Source organism: Homo sapiens, chromosome X (assembly GCF_000001405.40).
Source record: "Homo sapiens chromosome X, GRCh38.p14 Primary Assembly".
NCBI classification, from domain to species: domain Eukaryota; kingdom Metazoa; phylum Chordata; class Mammalia; order Primates; family Hominidae; genus Homo; species Homo sapiens.
The window spans coordinates 15,772,875-15,791,013 of record NC_000023.11 but is presented as its reverse complement, the minus strand read 5'-3'; the positions used below and the strand labels follow the sequence as shown (position 1 = coordinate 15,791,013).

Here is an 18,139-nt window from a genome sequence, read left to right as displayed (position 1 = left end):
CTGAGTCTCTCAGTCGAGCAAGTTCCTGCCGACGTTTCTTTCGTTTCTCCTTCTTCAGGGCGGCCCTGTACTTTTTGTGGCTGGAAGATTAAGACATATACACGACGATCAGCGGCTACAATGCAGCGCTGCCCGAGCTCCCCGCTCCTCTGTGCCCAATGAAAGGAAATAGTTCGGGTGCTGAGGAGAGAAACCTTGCTTCCTGTATTTTAATTACAGAACAGCCATCTATCATCGCCTCATCCTCCCACTCCCAGACAGTTCTTCTCCATCCGCCAACCTGATCCTCTCCTCGCTTGCCTGAGCCACAGCCGCCCGTGCAAGTCCGGGGAGGGCACCAGAGCGCGCACCAGGAAGGAATGGAGCTGCCGCGGTGGCTCACTTAGCTTGGCCCAGCTTCTCTTTTCTTCCTGCCACCACATCCTCCATGCCCACGATCGGCCCGCTCGCCTGCTCATCTCCCCGTACGGCGCTTACCTTGGTTTCTCGGGAAACGTCATCTTCTCGGGCGCAGCCATCTTGCCGGCACCGCCCCGCCCCTCCAGGTCTGGCAGGAAAGGGCGGGCCTAAGAGTCGAGACGGGCACGCGCAGGCGCGGGTACCGAGCAACCTCCACCAGCGTGGGACTTGAAACGGAAAGCCGGAGGTACCCTTCGGCGGCTCGTCTTCCAGAACCCTGCTCAAATAAATACCTCCTTCCAGCAAAAATACTCTGGGGCTTTTACCCCGCCCTAGAAGTAATTGTCGCTTCAGCACTTGCCCAGTGCTGTATCACTGTCTCCCTCCTCGCCCTAGCAGGACGTGTTGTGGCTAGGCGGTTAAAGTCGTACTCTGCCGCTTTTCTCAGCATCCACTCATGAAGTCACATCGCGCACAGAGCTGCTCGCCCGGCTTTATTTCCGACCTGTCCAGGTTCCGCGTCCTTCCGCCGATCCACCTATCAGCGCCTCAGACAAAGCTCCAGACTTCGCTCCCTGCCAGTCACACCTGTTCTGGTCCCTTAAGCAAACCTAACTCCCAGGGCTGCAAAGCTGTTACCTCTGCCCCTGAGGAGTTTACAATCGAGGGGGCAGAGAAGAACCAATACATAATATGATGCAGGCAAAGATGAAGTTTACCTAACATAGTCCACCAAGGGATTCAGGGAGAGCTCTCTTTTTTTTCCTTTTTTCTTTTTTTTTCAGTATCACATGCGACTCAACTGCAGTATCAGGGACAGCTTTCTGATGCTAAGAGTTGAGTTTGGAAAGAAGATGCCCTTTACCCAGAAGGAGAAGGGTGGGAATGCAGTTACAGTCAGATCAGCATAAGCAAAGGCGCTGAAAGGTGAAAGTGGAATATGCTGGGAACAGCAAGAATTTTGGCAATCGAATTTATTTATTTATTCATTTCTTATATATTAGAGACAGGGTCTTGTCTTTCACCCAGGTTGGAGTGCAGTGGCGCAATCACGACTCGCTGCAGCTTCGACCTCCTGGGGTCAAGCAATCCTTCCACCTCAGCCTCCCGAGTAGCTGGGAATACAGGCGCGAGCCACCACGCCCGCCCAGCTATCCAATTTAAAGTGCAGTTCGAGGCTGGGTGCAGCGGCTCACGCCTGTAATCCCAGCACTTTGGGAGGCCTAGGCGGGTGGATCACCTGAGGTCAGGAGTTCGTCAGCCTGGCCAACATGGTGAAACCCCGTCTCTACTAAAAATACAAAATTAGCCGGGTGTGGTGGCACATGCCTGTAGTCCCAGCTACTCTGGAGGCTGAAACAGGAGAACTGCTTGAACCCAGGAGGTGGCGGCCGCAGTGAGCCGAGATGGCACCACTGCCCTCCAGCCTGGGCAACAGAGCAAGGCTCCGTCTCAAAAAAACAAAACAAAATAAAGTGCAATTCGAGAATATCAAGGAATATAGTTGTTGTGATGGGCTGGGAGGGCTAGGTTAAGGAGGGCCTGGTGTGCCATGTTAAGACGCTCTGTTTACATTCTGTAGAGACAACAGTGAACCGTTGAAAGCTTTTTAAATAGAGGCTTATTGTGGTTGTGTTTGTGTTTTAGGTAAATCACTCTGCTTTGCAATATAAAGGATTTAAAAGATAAAACTAGAGTATCACAATAATCTAGGTGAGAGGTGTTGAGGAATTAAACTGGGGCAATGAGAGTAGGGATTGAGAAACTAAAAATCATCCCAACTAATAATCAGACTGTAATGTACACATACAAGGCCAGGGACAAGGCCAAGCAAAAAATGTTCCTCACAAGGATGCATTACAGCTGTAAAATGACTAATAACCTCTATCTTTTGAGTGATTGAATAGCTTCCTTGGCCTACCTTTGTTCCGTTCTCCTCCAAATTAAAGTTTCTGAGATACTCAATTACTAAACTGCCTTCCTTCCCCTAATCCCTCCTTAGAATTACTCAGCTGAAGCCCAAACTCTGCATAAAACCTCACCCTAATCTCTCTTATACTGACACACTTGGAGCAACACATATGCCCTTCACCCCCAAGTTGACCTTGTCCAGCTCAGTGCATTGGTTGGCTGTGATCTTGAGTAAATTCCTTAATGTCTACTCCTGTTTTCTCATTTGTAAAAATCAAGATAGTAATAATAGTTCCCATCTCATAACCCTTTTATTGTGAAAACTGAGTAAGATAAGCCATGTTATATGCTGATACAGTGCCTAGCAATAGTGAATGCCTCCAAAACTTTAGCTGTTACATCATCTCATCACCATCATCATTAGTGTGAAAACTTCCTGACCCCTCAAGAGGGGATGAGGCGCTGTATGCATTTCCAGTACAAGTATTCCACCTTTTATAACATCTATCATGGTTTACTACACATTGTCACCTTTACCTTTCTGCTTCTTGACTAAATCTTAAACTAAACTCTCTAGTTGGAGGTTTGGCAGTTGTATCCCCAAACTAGAGTGCCCTGGATGGCACAGAATGTTGTAGCTATGCAACTCACCAATTTTGCTGGTCCCTGTGATCAGAATTTACGCTGAGAATTGCTGCCCGTTCTGAAAGCATCAGTGTTTAAGTTGTTGTAACATTTCTTCTGAATCAGACCAGACTTTCACTTCAGAACAATAAGTAACAATTCCTTCTAAGAAATCTCGGCTCACTGCAACCTCCGCCTCCTGGGCTCAAGCGATTCTTCTGCCTCAGCCTCCTGCGTAGCTGGGATTACAGGTGCATGCCACAACCACCTGGCTAATTTTTGTATTTTTTAGTAGAGACGGGGTTTCACCATATTGGCCAGGCTGTTCTCGAACTCTTGACCTCCGGTAATCTGCCCGCCTCGGCCTCCCAAAATGCTGGGATTACAGGCATGAGCCACCGCACCCGGCCATAGATTTTTTAGTGAGTTAGAAATGAATGTAAATTTCCTTTTATAGGAGTTAGACATTTATTTTTAACAATTAACCACTGAATTCATTTTCAGAAATAGGCCTGAATTGCTTGTTAATTTCATTACAGGAAGTAACTCTAAAAGCCAATTCCACTTCCAAACTATAATTACCATCATCTGAATTTAACAGGGAAAGACATCTTCCAAGACTTCTTTTGGGCGGATGCTTAGTTTTAGAATAGCCAACTTTACCCTAACCCATGTACAAGACAGTTCTCCAGGTGGCCTTGGACTGACCCAGTTCTCCCTTCTTCCTTGCTTGTAGTTCTTAAGAATAACTGTAGAATGCACTGGGAATGCAATATCCTGATATGGAGGAACTGCCTGAAACAGGTTGGCCTTGTTGTTGTCCCTCCTAGGGAATGTAACATCTTGATTTAGGGAACTGTTTGAGACAGCGAGGTTGTGTTCCTCTTTCCCCTGGAAGGAGGATGTACTTTAAAGCTTTGCCCAATGAGTTATGTGGCTCCTATGGTATATAACCCAAGGCAGGCTGTGGTGCAAGTGGGGCACGTACAATCAAGACTCCATCAGCCCCGCCCTGGGCAGCTTTCTTGAGCCCTGGGGGACTGGCTCACAATGGAGCCAGGGCCTCTTTTGTCCCTTGCTTCCTGTCTGTAAGTAATAAATCTGCTTCATGTAATGTATTGGGTGTGAGTGTGTTCTGTCACAATGGAATCAGACAGGTTGGTAACCAGTGTACACTGAACCTGCTTGGCACCATGTAGCCCTGGGAAAGGAGAAAGGCGGTCACAGCTTGCCCTATATGGTGATGCCAGCACACTGTGCACTGTACTGTGCAACAGAAAAAGGTGCACTGAGGAGGATCGGCTGCTTCTTCCCATTGTTGCTTCTTTAGTAAATCCCCTATGAGTTTTTAGTCGCTTTCTAATCTACAAGTTAAAGGATATCTCATTAATTTTACAGATATATACATATACTGTAACAATAGGAAGGAAGTCTTTCACCAACCACTAATACTGTAAAGAAAGCATTGTATCGATCTAGTATTATTTAATGAAGACGGACAGCAATTTTAATACAATCTTCTTTTCCAAGACCTTTGACAGACCTTAGGCCCATTTTCCACCTTTATGTCTAGGAAAGTATAAGTAAAACACTTTTGAGGGCATAAAAAACACAAGCTTCTTGTTAAGGTGTATCAGTAGCCAGGGAAATCTGCTGTGCCCCTTTGAGGGTCATCTAACTAAGGCATGGAGAAAGAAACTGCCTCAAGTCAGTTTCTATCACCTCTGCAGGGAAGCTGGCCATGCAAACCAGGACATGGTTCAAAGTGAAAAAGAGTGTGGTTAATAATCATGCCAGAACACCAGGTATAAGATGTAAGGGCAAGTCAGGCATTCTGTACATTGCTTCTCCCTTCAGTTTGGAAAACTCACTGCAGTAGGGTTTTGACTTATCGTTTCACAAGACAGCTAGGAAGGCCAGGCACAGTGGCTCACACCTGTAATCCCAGCACTTTGGGAGGCCAAGACGGGTGGATCACGAGGTCAGATCGAGACCATCCTGGTTAACACGGTGAAACCCTGTCTCTACTTAAAATACAAAAAATAGCCGGGTGTGGTGGCGGGCGCCTGTAGTCCCAGCTACTCAGGAGGCTGAGGCAGGAGAATGGCGTGAACCCGGGAGGCGGAGCTTGCAGTGAGCCGAGATCGCGCCACTGCACTCCAGCCCGGGTGACAGCGCGACTCTGTCTCAAAAAAATAAAAAAAATAAAAAAAAATAAAAAACAAGACAGCTAGGAGGAAAGCCTGTATGCTTTGGAAAATGCATATCTTGTGTGTTTACCCTTTTAAAGGTAACTATACTTTGAAACAGGTGAACTGCAGAAAGTTAACAAAGACTTCTTTTTTTACCATGTTTACCTTTCTAAGAATTCTATGCATTTCCTAGGGCATACATGCAAAAGCCTTCACATTTCCCCCTTTTTAAAAGAGATATTTCTCAAACTTATACGTATACAGTTCAGTAGTGTTAAGTACAATCACACTTGTTTTGCAACAGATCTCTAGAATTCTTGCAACACAAGCTCTGTACCCACTAAATACAAATTCACCCTCTCCCCTTCCCCCAACCGTTGCTTGGCAACCACCTTTCTACTTTCTATTGTATGATTTTGACTACTTTGCATACTTCACATGGAGGAATCATATAGCATTTGTTCTTTTGTTGGCTGGCTTATTTCACTTGGCATAATGCCTTCAAGGTTCATCCACATTGTACATTTGACAGGATTTCCTTCTTTTTAAAGGCTGAATAATATTCCATTGACTGTATATACCACATTTCCTTTATCTATTCATCTGTTGATGGACATTTGGGATGCTTCCAGAACCTCTTGGCTATTGTGAATAATGCTGCTATGAACATGGGTGTACAAATATCTCTTTGAGATCCCGCTTTGGTGGTAATTCTTATGGTAATTCTGTTTTCAGTTATTTGGGAAACCTGTGTACTGTTTTCCGTAATGACTGCACCGTTTTACATTACCACCAACAGTGCACAAGGGTTTCAACTTCTCTGCATCCTCCCCAATACTTGTTATTTTTTTGTTCTTCTGATAGTGGCCATCATGATGGGCGTGAGACGATATCTCATTGTGGTTTTGATTTGCATTTCCCTAATAATTGGCAATGTTGAGCATATTTTCATGTTCTTATTGGCCAATTGTATAACTTCTTTGGAGAAATGTCTGTGCAAGTCCTTTGCCCATTTTTAAAAATTGAGTTATTTGGTTTTTTGTTGTTGAGTTGTAGAAGTTCCTCATATATTCTGGATTTGGGCTCCTTATAAGATAGACGATTTGCAATTATTTTCTCTCATTCTAGAGCTTGCGTTTTCACTTTGTTGATTGCTTCCTTTGACACACAGACATTTTTAAGTTTGATGTAGTCCCGTTTCCTTCCTAACGATCTTTAAGTGTACAGTTCAGTAGTGTTAAGTATATTCATCCAACCCTATCTTGCAGACCAGATGACAAACATATTAATGAAAGAAATACTACCAGTCATTGACGCAACAGAGTCTGAACATAGGCTTAGAGGCATTCAGAAACATTCCAAGATATTTATAAGCAAGAGCCACAGGAGCATGAATTCCTCAGAATATGTAGAATTATCTAGATTTTAGCCTATCTGACAAGTTTCTCTCCCTATTACCATAACAAAAGTCTTTTAAACCACTGTATAAACTGAGATATTTAAGTTAATCACCTGCCTTGCAAAGAACCTTGACTAATGAGTAAATAAAGTTCAGACAGTTGTAAAGGGAAGACGGGATAGCTCTTTCACTGTAGAAAACATTATCATTATATACTATGTAACAGCGTGCAAATAATACAAAATAATAATATAAACTATAGGCTATTAGATTACTAGTCCTTTGAAAAATATTTCTGGAAGGCCGGGCACGGTGGCTCACGCCTGTAATCCCAGCACTTTGGGAGGCCAAGGCGGGTGGATCACCTGAGGTCAGGAGTTCAAGACCAGCCTGGCCAACATAGTGAAACCCCATCTCTACTAAAAATACAAAAATTAGCTGGGCGTGGTGGCATGTGCCTGTAGTCCCAGTTACTCAGGAGGCTGAGGCAGGAGAATCGCTTAAACCCGGGAGGTGGAGGTTGCAGTGAGCCAAGATAGTGCCACTGCACTCCAGCCTGGGGGACAGAGCGAGACTCCATCTCAAAAAAAAAAAAAAAAAAGAAAAGAAAAATATTTCTGGAAATGTGCAATGAAAGAATTCTAAGTTCTAGGCACTTTAAGCATTTTTTCTTTTCTTTTCTTTTTTTTTTTTTATTAGACACAGAGTCTCACTCTGTTGCCCAGGCTGGAGTGCAGTGGTGTGATCTTGGTTCACTACAACCACCACCTCCTGGGTTCAAGCGATTCTCCAGCCTCAGCTTCCCGAGTAGCTGGCATTACAGGTGCTCACCACCATGCCTGGCTAATTTTTTATTTGTAGTAGTGACAGGGTTTCATCATGTTGGCCAGGCTGGTCTCAAACTCCTGACCTCAAGTGAGCTACCCGCCTCAGCCTCCCAAAGTGCTGGGATTACAGGTGTGAGCCACTGTGCCCAGCCAGGCATTTTCTTTAAAATGTTCTGCATATATTTCCTATATGATCAGACCTTTAAGCAAAATATCTGATCTTCGGAAATGCAAAGGGATTTCTGGGTATAGGAAAAGTCTTGTTTTCTTATAATTACAAAATATATTTTCTACATCATAAACTGATAGTAAGTAAGCATATCATGTCCTTGTAACAACTAAACACTGGGGCAAATATACTGACTGATAAGCCCTTATGAAAGAATACACATTCATGTTATAAAATAAAATACATCTAAAACCATGGCCAATATTCAGCCAGGAAGTACCAGTCTGGGCCCATAGGCTGTTTCTGCAAGGCCTGAGTTCTGGTCAGTGTCTGTGCCTTACCACATGTTAAAAATTTTGATTATAATCCCTATGTATAGTGCTATAGAACCACTAATGGATAAACATAAAAAGATAGCTCAAAAATGTCAGACATAAAAAGATATTACAAGCTGGGCCAGGCGGCCAGCACCTGTAGCCCCAGCTACTCTAGAGGCTAAGGCAGGAGGACTGCTTGAGCCTAGGAGTTCAAGGCTGCAGTGAGCTATCATTTGGCCACTGCACTCTAGCCTGGGCAGCAGAGCAAGACCTAGTCTCTTAAAGAAAAAAAAAAGGCATTACAATTACCAACAGGTATCTGTAAGAGAAACTTGTGTCTCTTGCTGGTACCGAATAGCCTTCCTCAAAGACTGATGAAGCACTCTCATGCTAAGAAATGCACATCTGTAAATATTATCAAATGCAGGCACTTAGAATAGTCTAGTTAACAATTTATAGTAAGCTAGTATATATTAAAGCAAAAGCAAAATACTGCCTAGATATGAATGTTTTAGGGGGTTGCTTGGCTGGTGGCCGGCTTGGGTTTCGCTTGTACATTCAGCACATAATCATGCCGGAAGGATGAACGAACAGTGCGATTCATCAGTGGCTGAAGGGGGCGGAAGTTGTCCACCATTCTTTTCTCTTTCTCCCCTTCGGAAGTGAAAAGCAGGGTCCGAAATTGCTCAAGCTAGAAATAGAAACAGAAAGCATAAATAATTTCAACAGAAAACTCGCTTTACCTCGTGAATAAATTACTTTCATTTTTACAATTCTGAGCATTCGTTGCAAATTAGATACAGAAGGAGAAGTTATTTCTGGGTAAGAACGCCTTCACCACTTGACAGGGAATAAAATGCCCAGTGGTGGTGGTGATCCTGATGGTGGTCCTGTGGGGAGGAGAGCAGCAAGAGGTGGTGAAACCAGGAGGGCACTTGGGATCCAAAGACTTGGGGCAAAGGCCCTGTCCCCACATATTATCCATTTACCAAGGATGAGTTAATTCATCTCTTTCATTCTCAAGAACTTCCTCTTTAAATGAGCAAAACAGCCAGCTTACAGAATGAGAAAGGAAAGCCCTGATGCATATACTAACAACACCAAAAAAAGTGGGTTTATAAAACAATTTAACTGAATCATGAACATAAAATAAGTATTATTGATTGCTCACTGCACCTGGGTATTGTGGGCAAAGCAATGAATATAAACGTCTTTTTTTTTTCCTTTTCTTTCTTTCTTTTTTTTTTTGTTTTTTTTAAAGACAAAGTCTTACTCTGTCACCCACCCAGGTTAGAATGCAGTGGTGTGATCATGATTCACTGCAGGCTCAACCTCTGGGACTCAGGTGATCTCCCACCTCAGCCTCCCAAGTAGCTGGGATTATAGGCACATGCTGCCACACCCAGCTAATTTTTTAATTTTTTGTAGAGACAGGGTCTTGCTATGTTCAGCCCAGGCTGGTCTTGAACTCCTGGCCTCAAGTGATCCTCCCAGCTAGGTCTCCCAAAGTGCTGGGATTACAGGTGTGAGCTACCACACCAGGCTGCATGTAGGTGTCTTAACTGGAGACAGGATGCTCTATGCTGGTGCTGTCCAATAGAACTTTCTGCAATGACGGAAATGTCCTCTGCACGGTCCATTACGGTAGTCACAAGCCACATGTGGCTACTGGGCACTTGAAATGTGGCCAGTGTAACTGAGGAACTGAATTTTATTTTTAATGTATTTATATTTAAATGTAAATGGTTACATGTGTCCAGTGGTTACAATATTAGACAATACAACTCAATGCAAAAGGAGCAACCCAGAATATCAACGGCTTGTTCTCTGATGTGGCTGCAGTATCAACCAGTAGCCCCTTGGTTTCAGACCCAATTGTGTTATGAAATACTTTACTTAGGCCGGGCGTGGTGGCCTACATTTGTAATCCCAGCACTTTGGGAGGCCGAGGCGGGTGGCTCACCTGAGGTCAGAAGTTCGAGACCAGCCTGACTAACATGGTGAAACCCTGTCTCTACTAAAATTACAAAATTAGCTGGGCGTGGTGGCTCATGCCTGTAATCCCAGCTACTGAGCCCAGGAGGTGGAGGTTGCAGTGAGCCGAGATCGCGCCACTGGACTCTCACCTGGGCACGCGCCACTGGACTCTCACCTGGGCAACGAGAGTGAAACTCCATGTCAAAAAAAAAAAAAAGAAAACAAAATACTTTACTTCAGGCCAGCAGGAAAATCCATTCACATTTCCCCTCATTCAATCTGCCTCATTGTAACAACTGAGAAGACAGCCTGGGGCACAGTAGACAAGCAAGCGAAGAGTCATTTGCAACAAAGACTTCAGGGCAAATAGAGCTGAAGAGGCAGAACTACGACTGAAAGCAAGCAATGAACATATCACACAGCGGCTGCACATGCAAATTACACAAAAGCCCTCACTAATTAGAAAGCTGTACAAGTAGCTAATGTTTCTTTTTATTCAGCTAATTGCAGAAGATTAGAAATAGTCTAAGTATCAAAGATAAATGACATCTGATCTATGAAATGAACTAGTATATAGTCCTTAAAAATAATACTGAAGATGTTCATTATCTATAAAATGTTCCATGCAGCTGGGTGGGGTGGCTCACACCTGTAATCCCAGCACTTTGGGAGGCCGAGGCGGGTGGATCACGAGGTCAGGAGTTCGAGACCAGCCTGGCCAACACAGTGAAACCCCATTTCTACTAAAAATACAAAAAATTAGCCAGGCGTGGTGGCGGGCGCCTGTAATCCCAGCTACTTGGGAGGCTGAGACAGGAGAATTGCTTGAACGTGCAAGGCAGAGGTTGCAGTGAGCCGAGATCGTGCCACTGCACTCCAGCCCAGGCAACAGCTAGAGACCGTCTTAAAAAAAAAAAAAAATGTTCCAGGCATCACTGAGTGAAAAGAGCAGCAAAATGGTATGTACAGAATGATTCCATTTTCATACAAAAATTGTGTATATTTATATAGATAAAAGACCATAAGGACTTATGTGCATCTGGACAGACAAGAGACCAGAAGGATTTCCCCAAACAATGATAGTGGTAAAATTATAGGCAACTAGGATAATATTATAGATGACAGGTAGCACTGTTTTCCTTACTAAATTTTCAGTGTTACCGTAAGTTTTATATTAAATTACATTCTAGAAGTAGCCAGTACAGTTAGACCAGAAAATAAAATTTTAAATTATATAATTGAAAAATAAATTTTAAAATTTTGTTGAAATCGTATTTACAAAGTCCTCACATGGGCCACTGACCCTCTGATGTATTTGCTTTATTTGTTTTTCAATGTTATGTCCATTTGTTTTTCTAGAAGGAATATAAGTCAAGGAAATGTGTCAATTTTTTAATCCAAAGAATAGAAACAGACTAAATGTATAGGCCACAAAGCCTATACATTTGCAGGCATAAAAGGATTTTCCTATGCTTATCCTAGTACTTTCATGGTGGTAGTTTTTACATGTAATATATCTGGAATGTATTCCTGTGTAAGGTCTGAATGATGGATCCAATTTTTTTCCCCCAAATGCCTGCTCAATTATTCCTCAACAGCATTTACCAAATACTGAATACTCTATCTTTCCTGCCTACTGAGTTGAGATGCTATATTTATCATAAAATAAATTCTCATATGTATTTGGATATATTTCTGAAATTATTATTTTCTTCCTGTGATGGTTAATTTTATGTGTCAACTTGATTGGGTCATGGGATGCACAGACAGGTTAAATACTGTGTCTATGTATGTCTATGAAGGTGTTTCTGGAGGAGATTAGGATTTAAATTGGTAGACTGAGTAAAGTGAATGGCCCTCCCTAAAGTAGATGGGAGTCATCCAATAAACTGAGGGTCTGAATAGAACAAAAAGGCAGAGGAAGGCTGAATTTGCTCTGATTGCTTGAGCTGGAACATCAATCGTCTCCTTTCTTCGGAGCTCCTGGTTCTCAGGCTTTCAGACCAAGATAGAAATCTACATTATCAGCTCTCCAGCTCTCAGGCCTTTGAACTACACCACTGTCTTTCCTGGGTCTCCAGCTTGCAGATGGCAGATTGTAAGACTTCTTAGTCTCCATAATCACATAGCCAATACCTTATGATACAACTTTATCTATCTTTTTCTTTATTTATCTTTATAGGGTTATAGAGTTAAGGTTATTTAACCTTTATAGGGTTATTTATCTAACTTTGTCTTTCTTAATTTTTTTTATCTTTATCTATATCTGGTGTGGTTTGGCCCTGTGTCCCTACCCAAATCTCACGTCGAATTGTAATCCCCCTGTGTCAGGGGAGGGGATCATGAGGGTGGATTTCCTCCTTACTGTTCTCGTGATAGTGAAAGAGTTCTCATGAGATCTGACGGTTTAAAAGTGTGTGGCACTTCCCCCATCTCTCTCTCTCTCTTCTGCCACCATGTGAAGAAGGTCCTTGCTTCCCTTTTGCCTTCTGCCATGATTTTAAGTTTCCTGAGGCCTCCCAGTCATGCTTCCTGTTAAGCCTGTGGAACTATGAGTCAATTAAACCTCCTTTCTTCATAAATTACCCAGTTTCAGGTAGTTCTTTATAGGAGTGTGAAAATGGACTAATACAATATATATCCTATTGGTTCTGTTTCTCTGGAGAACGCTAATATACTTCCCTTGATTGATCTCTTTATCCATGTGCCAGGAACACGCTATTTAATTATTGAGGCTTTATAACTTTGTGAGTCTAATTATCCCGTATTTTTCTAGAATTTTCCCTGGCTATTTATGTGTTTGTCTTTATTCATGAGTTTAGAAATAGCATATCAATTTAAAAATCCTATTGGCATATTTATTGGGAATACATAAATTTATGGTGAATAAATAATTCATGGAGAATGACAACTTAGGTTGTCATTTATGACAAAAAAAGGTGTTTTTATGTCTTTTGATCCTATAATGTGTTAACTTTATTAATTCAAGCCTTCTTTTGTATCCTCCAGGAACATTTTAAGTTTTCTTATTAGCTTTCCTTGTTAAAATTATTCCGAAGTATTTTATATTTTTGTTTCCATTATAAATAGGAGCCTTTCTTACATTATATCTTTATATCATATCTTTTAGCTGATTGTGATTTATATATGTCAAATGTATTGATTTCTAGAAATTGATATTGTATTCCACTGATTACCAAATTATCTCTGATTTTTGTAGTCGTTTTTTATTGTTTCTCTAATTTATTTTTTATTTTCCAGTCTAACTGTACTGGCTACTTCCAGAATGTAATTTAATATAAAACTTAATACGGTAACAATCCTTTCCATTCAAAACCTACTATTTGCTTTTGAACTGAGATCAATCTCTTTTATCAAGATAGGGAAGTCTCTATTCAGCTCTGTTTTATTAAAAATTTTCAAAAACTGAATGGTGATTTTTACAAATGTCTTTTTAACTTCCCTGGAAATGATAATATGATTTTTCTATTTAGATCCACTGATAGAATGAATTACATTAATATCATTCTTAACATGAACCATACTTGTATTACTGGAGTAAAAGCTACTTGGACAAAGTGTATATTTCTTCTGATGTACTGCTGGATTCTGTTTCTAATATTTTCTTTTTAGCTTTTTTTTCTTTTATATTCTTCAGAGGGGGGTCCAATCTTTGGTGAGTGTTGGTATCAGTTATGCTGGCTTCATAAAAAGAATTTGGAAGCTTTTTTTCTTATGAAAATGCTTTATAATCAATAAAAATCCCATAAAACAAGTATGAGTAAATATTATTGTAGTTTATATTATACATTATACAGGATTTTGAGTGTTTGCATAGTAAATACTACTTAGACTTAGTTTCTAAGGGAAAAATAGATCCCAAATTCAAAAAATGGACTTACATTAAAGTTTCTGGACAAACATTGTTGAATTCTGTATTTATCCTGAGATTCCATAGCAGAATTCCCTTAAGGATTTTAAACAGTTTTGAACACATTCATTTCCAGCCTTCACTCTTCCCTTTAAAAGGGTCTTGATTTTGTATAGAGTTTAATATTTATATATAAAATACACAAGGCATAAGAAGACATATGTAATTGTCAAATATAAATGTAAAAAACTTATGTTCTTCTGTGTTTTAACTCTTCTCTCTAGTTAATTTGAAACATCCCCAAATTCATGTCCAAACTGAGACAAGACGTTGGTACACTTCAATAAAAATGTATAAGCATTACAAGATGTTAAAACTGATGCCACAGTCTGAGCCCAGCCTTGTTTTACATGGGCAGACAAGGATTTCCTTAGATTGAAATTATGGAGAGAACATACCTGATCATGATCAACCTCTACTGGTTGCTTCTTAATGATCCAGGTGACAGACTCGGAGAGGGGTGGGGTAGTCAGAGACCCTGAGTAGGTCCAGTAATCTGGGCAGGTAGGCATCAGGCAGGAAGGGTCAAATGACCCAAATTCCACAAGGGCGTCCTGGCCAAGAGAAGAGATAACCGAGTCATTATTTAGTAGTGAAAACCACTCAGGAATTGGACGCCGAGGTGACGGTTCTCAGGGAGTATCTGGAGATCAGCAGTGGTCCAGAGCAGCTCCAGGCCTTTCTGGGCAGCTACCTGAAGAATCGCTGCTTAGGATGGTATCATGCCTGGCTTTGTTTCTGGAATTAACTGTGCATTTTTTATATTCCCCTGTGGGAAAACGGCCAAAACCACTTGATCTCTCAATTCTAGTGAGGTTCCAGCAGGTAGTCTCCTCTGAGTTTTGTTGAGAGGTTTTAGACAGCGGCCAGTGCATAAAGAAAGAGGCTTTGCATTTTCTTTTCTTTTTTCTTTTTTTTTTTTTTTTTTTGAGACAGAGTCTCGCTCTGTCGCCCAGGCTAGAGTGCAGTGGTGCAATCTCGGCTCACTGCAAGCTCCGCCTCCCGGGTTCACGCCATTCTCCTGCCTCAGCCTCCCAAGTAGCTGGGACTACAGGCGCCCGCCACCATGCCCGGCGAATTTTTTGTATTTTTTAGGAGAGATGGGGTTTCACTGTGTTAGCCAGGACAGTCTCGATCTCCTGACCTCGTGATCCGCCAGCCTCGGCCTCCCAAAGTGCTGTGATTACAGGCGTGAGCCACTGCGCCCGGTTGGAGGCTTTGCATTTTCGAGAGGCTAACTGAGAATTGTCCTTTTAAGAAGAAATGCAGCTCAGGAGGAGCCAGAAACCTGAACTAAAAGGAAAGAGAGGGAAAAACAGGAAAATGGAGATGAGAGGAGAGGGAAAGAGGTAGGGACCAGAAGGTCAGAGTGGGGGATGGGGGGAGATAATATACGGGCTTCCAGAGAGGAAAGGAGAGGGAAAGAGGTGGGGACCAGAGGGATACAGTGGGGGATGAGAGGGAGAAGAAGAGAATATATGGGCCTCCAGAGAGCAGCCCTTTGAGATTCTGAATATTGAAGAATTAATATTGGGGGACTGGACAAAGGCATCCGACCTGAAGGATGTGGATTACTGTTCTTTCTAGCTGGACAAGGCAAGTTTCTGTAGAACTGCGCTCTGCTCCCTGCCTGTGGGATGGCAGCTACAGAACAGAAGGCTGCTCTGGGTGTGTTCACAAGGACTTAGAAGGAGCCGGTGTCAGGAACAGAGGAGGGGACAGCAATATGTTCCTGAGTCCCCAAGTCCTCAGCGGCACTGCAGCAAAACCAGAAAGCTCACTGCCTACCCACAGAATGATGACTTCTGTCCCCTGGAATCATAAATGGCAAGTTTTCTTCTAAGGCTGAATACAGTTCACCTAATTAAACTTCCCAATTCAAAGTGCCTTGGTAATGTCTCCGCTCTGAGATTGAAACATAAAAGTATATTTCAAGTAATTAAGGAAAACAAATAGTACCTTATGCTTAATTGACGGCAAAGTATCCACTAATTTCTGTAGCTCCTTATGATGTTTGCCTAGCTAAAGAACAACAAGTAAGAAAATATTACAAACAATGGACATCTCACTGTAGAAACTGTAACAGAATGTGAATTAAAATTAACTACCTGGTGATTACATAAAAACAAACTGCATGACTGAAATTACACTTAAACTTGTAATTTATAATTTTATAAACATTACTGAATTAAATTAGAGAACAAATCAGCAGGCTGTTTGCTGACAAGGTCAGCATGCCTGCAGTGAAAGGTGCCCCCTGCTTCATTTAAGTTCTTAAATTGAAATTAAAATTAAATAAAATGAAAAATGGTTCCAGAACTGCAGTAGACACATTTCAAGTGCTCAATTGCCACATGTGGCTTGTGACCACTCTATTGGGCTGTGCATTTTTATATCATTTAAAATATATATATTTTTTTGGTGGTGGGGGGGATGGAGTCTCGCTCTGTTGCCCAGGCTGGAGTGCAGTGGCACAATCTTGGCTTACTGCAGCCTCCACCTCCCAGGCTCAAGCAAGCGATCCTCCTGCCTCAGCCTCCCGAGTAGCTAGGATTACAGGTGCGCACCACTATGCCTGGCTAATTTTTGTATTTTTAGTAGAAACAGGGTTTCCCCATGGAAGCCAGGCTGGTCTCGAACTCCTGACCTCAAGTGATCTGCCTGCCTCGGCCTCCCAAAGTGCTGGGATTACAGGCGTGAGCCACCATGCCTGGCCCTAAAATATATTCTTAACAATCCTGTACTTCAAGCACTATTTATCTTACCAATGTATGGATCCCAACATTCTTAAAGTAAATAACAATATTATACTGTTCTATCTTTTCATCCTAGAATACAACACGTCATTTAAAGTTGGTGAGATATTTTACCTTTAAAAATACTCCTATCACAGCCAAACCATTTTCTTCCAGTGCTGCATCCTCAAAGTTTTCAAATCTGACTGCGTTCCAATGCACTAAGTGCAGCTGAAACACCATGAAAAGAGGGTTAACACGTGACTATACAGAATCTCTCCAGAATAAACCCACAGCCTCAGTCAACCTATGACATTTAAACATGTTTCCTCACCCAAAGTAAAGCCACCAAGAAAACCATATGACAATCCAAAATGAGATAGAAACAAAGATCAGGAAGAAATTTAGGCAAGAGCAGCAATTAATATTATTTTAGAATAAAGGGATTTATTTGGGGAGAAAAATAGAAAATTCATATAACAAAGTGACACTTCAGTGAGCAATCAACATTTGTCCAGTCCCATCTTGATTTGAATGAAATACCAATATTCGAAATCCACTTGCATCTACAGGAGAGAAGATGTTTATATTGAGAGAAATAGATCCTCCATATGGAAATTATGCAGGAGTTAAAGACAAATTTCTTCTTCAAGGAATAACCATTTAAAATGTGCTTTTAGGCTGGGTGTGGTGGCTCACACCTGTAATCTCAGCATTTTGGGAGGTCAAGGTGGGAGAATCACTTGAATCCAGCAGTATGAGACCAGCCTGGACGACATAGTGAAACCTTGTCTCTACAAAAAAATTTAAAAATTAGCAGGGCAGGCCGGGCGCGGTGGCTCACGCCTGTAATCCCAGCACTTTGGGAGGCCGAGGTGGGTGGATCACAAGGTCAGGAGATCGAGACCATCCTGGCTAACACGGTGAAACTCCATCTCTACTAAAAATACAAAAAATTAGCTGGGCGCAGTGGTGGGCGCTTGTAGTCCCAGCTACTTGGGGGGCTGAGACAGGAGAATGGTGTGAACCCGGGAGGCAGAGCTTGCAGTGAGCCAAGATCACGCCACTGCACTCCAGCCTGGGCGACAGAGCAAAACTCTGTCCCAAAAAAAAAAAAAAAAAAAAAAAAATTAGCAGGGCATGGTGATGTGCGCCTGTTGTCTTGAGGTGGGAGGATTGCTTAAGGTCGAGGCTGCAGTGAACCGTGATTGTGCCACTGCACTCCAGCCTGGGTGACAGAGTGAGACCCTGTCTCACAAAGCAAAATAAAATGAAACAAATATAAAAAATATAAAATAAATTTTTAAATGGGCTTTTTTTACATAACATTTACAATTGAATTAGGAAAAAAGTTGTAAGAAGAAATTCTATTTCCTTAAAATCTCCCTTTATTTCCCTACAAATCATTCCTCATTCATCAGTTATGAGTGCATTATCACCCAGCCTCCCAAGTGAGACACCACAAAGTCGTGGTTAACCTTGCCTTCTCCTATCCTGAAGAGAACCCTACCTTCAAGTCCTGTTGCTTTAATTTCAGAAATGCTTGATAAATCTTGCCCTTTTTCTCTATTTCTATTGCCACAGCCTTCATTTAGGCTCCCACCACCGCAAACTTGCATTAATTCAACCTGTGGCTCCACAATGTTCCCTGGGTTATT

General features: G+C 42.0%; 2 protein-coding genes and 2 long non-coding RNA genes across 4 annotated transcripts in view, besides 3 other annotated features; 1 reads left to right on the top strand and 3 right to left on the bottom strand.

Annotated features, from left to right (window-relative positions):
• ZRSR2 (zinc finger CCCH-type, RNA binding motif and serine/arginine rich 2) overlaps positions 1-530 on the bottom strand; it is a 32,777-nt gene extending 32,247 nt beyond the window's left edge. Inside the window, exons 1-2 of the mRNA NM_005089.4 lie at positions 478-530; positions 1-80 (exon numbers count right to left, since the gene is read on the bottom strand). Of these exons, the coding sequence (NP_005080.1) occupies positions 1-80; positions 478-518 (121 nt within the window). The 5' untranslated portion in view covers positions 519-530. The remainder of the gene's footprint in view (positions 81-477) is intronic.
• Positions 203-652: an enhancer, noted in NCBI's record as "active region_29451". NCBI's record gives its function as "activates an Ori minimal core promoter by ATAC-STARR-seq in GM12878 lymphoblastoid cells {active_cell/tissue: GM12878}" and the evidence as "EXISTENCE:reporter gene assay evidence [ECO:0000049][PMID:35858748]".
• The window catches only part of CA5BP1-CA5B (CA5BP1-CA5B readthrough), a 112,954-nt gene continuing 97,417 nt past the window's right edge, over positions 2,603-18,139 (bottom strand). The window contains exons 9-12 of the long non-coding RNA NR_160544.1: positions 16,617-16,712; positions 15,706-15,768; positions 14,145-14,300; positions 2,603-8,529 (exon numbers count right to left, since the gene is read on the bottom strand). This is a non-coding gene — a long non-coding RNA (CA5BP1-CA5B readthrough). The remainder of the gene's footprint in view (positions 8,530-14,144; positions 14,301-15,705; positions 15,769-16,616; positions 16,713-18,139) is intronic.
• Positions 2,603-18,139, bottom strand: part of CA5B (carbonic anhydrase 5B) — a 50,142-nt gene continuing 34,605 nt past the window's right edge. The window contains exons 5-8 of the mRNA NM_007220.4: positions 16,617-16,712; positions 15,706-15,768; positions 14,145-14,300; positions 2,603-8,529 (exon numbers count right to left, since the gene is read on the bottom strand). Of these exons, the coding sequence (NP_009151.1) occupies positions 8,350-8,529; positions 14,145-14,300; positions 15,706-15,768; positions 16,617-16,712 (495 nt within the window). The 3' untranslated portion in view covers positions 2,603-8,349. The remainder of the gene's footprint in view (positions 8,530-14,144; positions 14,301-15,705; positions 15,769-16,616; positions 16,713-18,139) is intronic.
• INE2 (inactivation escape 2) lies at positions 3,425-5,298 on the top strand. Its single transcript, NR_002725.2, has one exon. It is a non-coding gene; the product is annotated as an inactivation escape 2 (long non-coding RNA).
• Positions 8,162-8,481: an enhancer, noted in NCBI's record as "active region_29450". NCBI's record gives its function as "activates an Ori minimal core promoter by ATAC-STARR-seq in GM12878 lymphoblastoid cells {active_cell/tissue: GM12878}" and the evidence as "EXISTENCE:reporter gene assay evidence [ECO:0000049][PMID:35858748]".
• Positions 8,502-8,621: an enhancer, noted in NCBI's record as "active region_29449". NCBI's record gives its function as "activates an Ori minimal core promoter by ATAC-STARR-seq in GM12878 lymphoblastoid cells {active_cell/tissue: GM12878}" and the evidence as "EXISTENCE:reporter gene assay evidence [ECO:0000049][PMID:35858748]".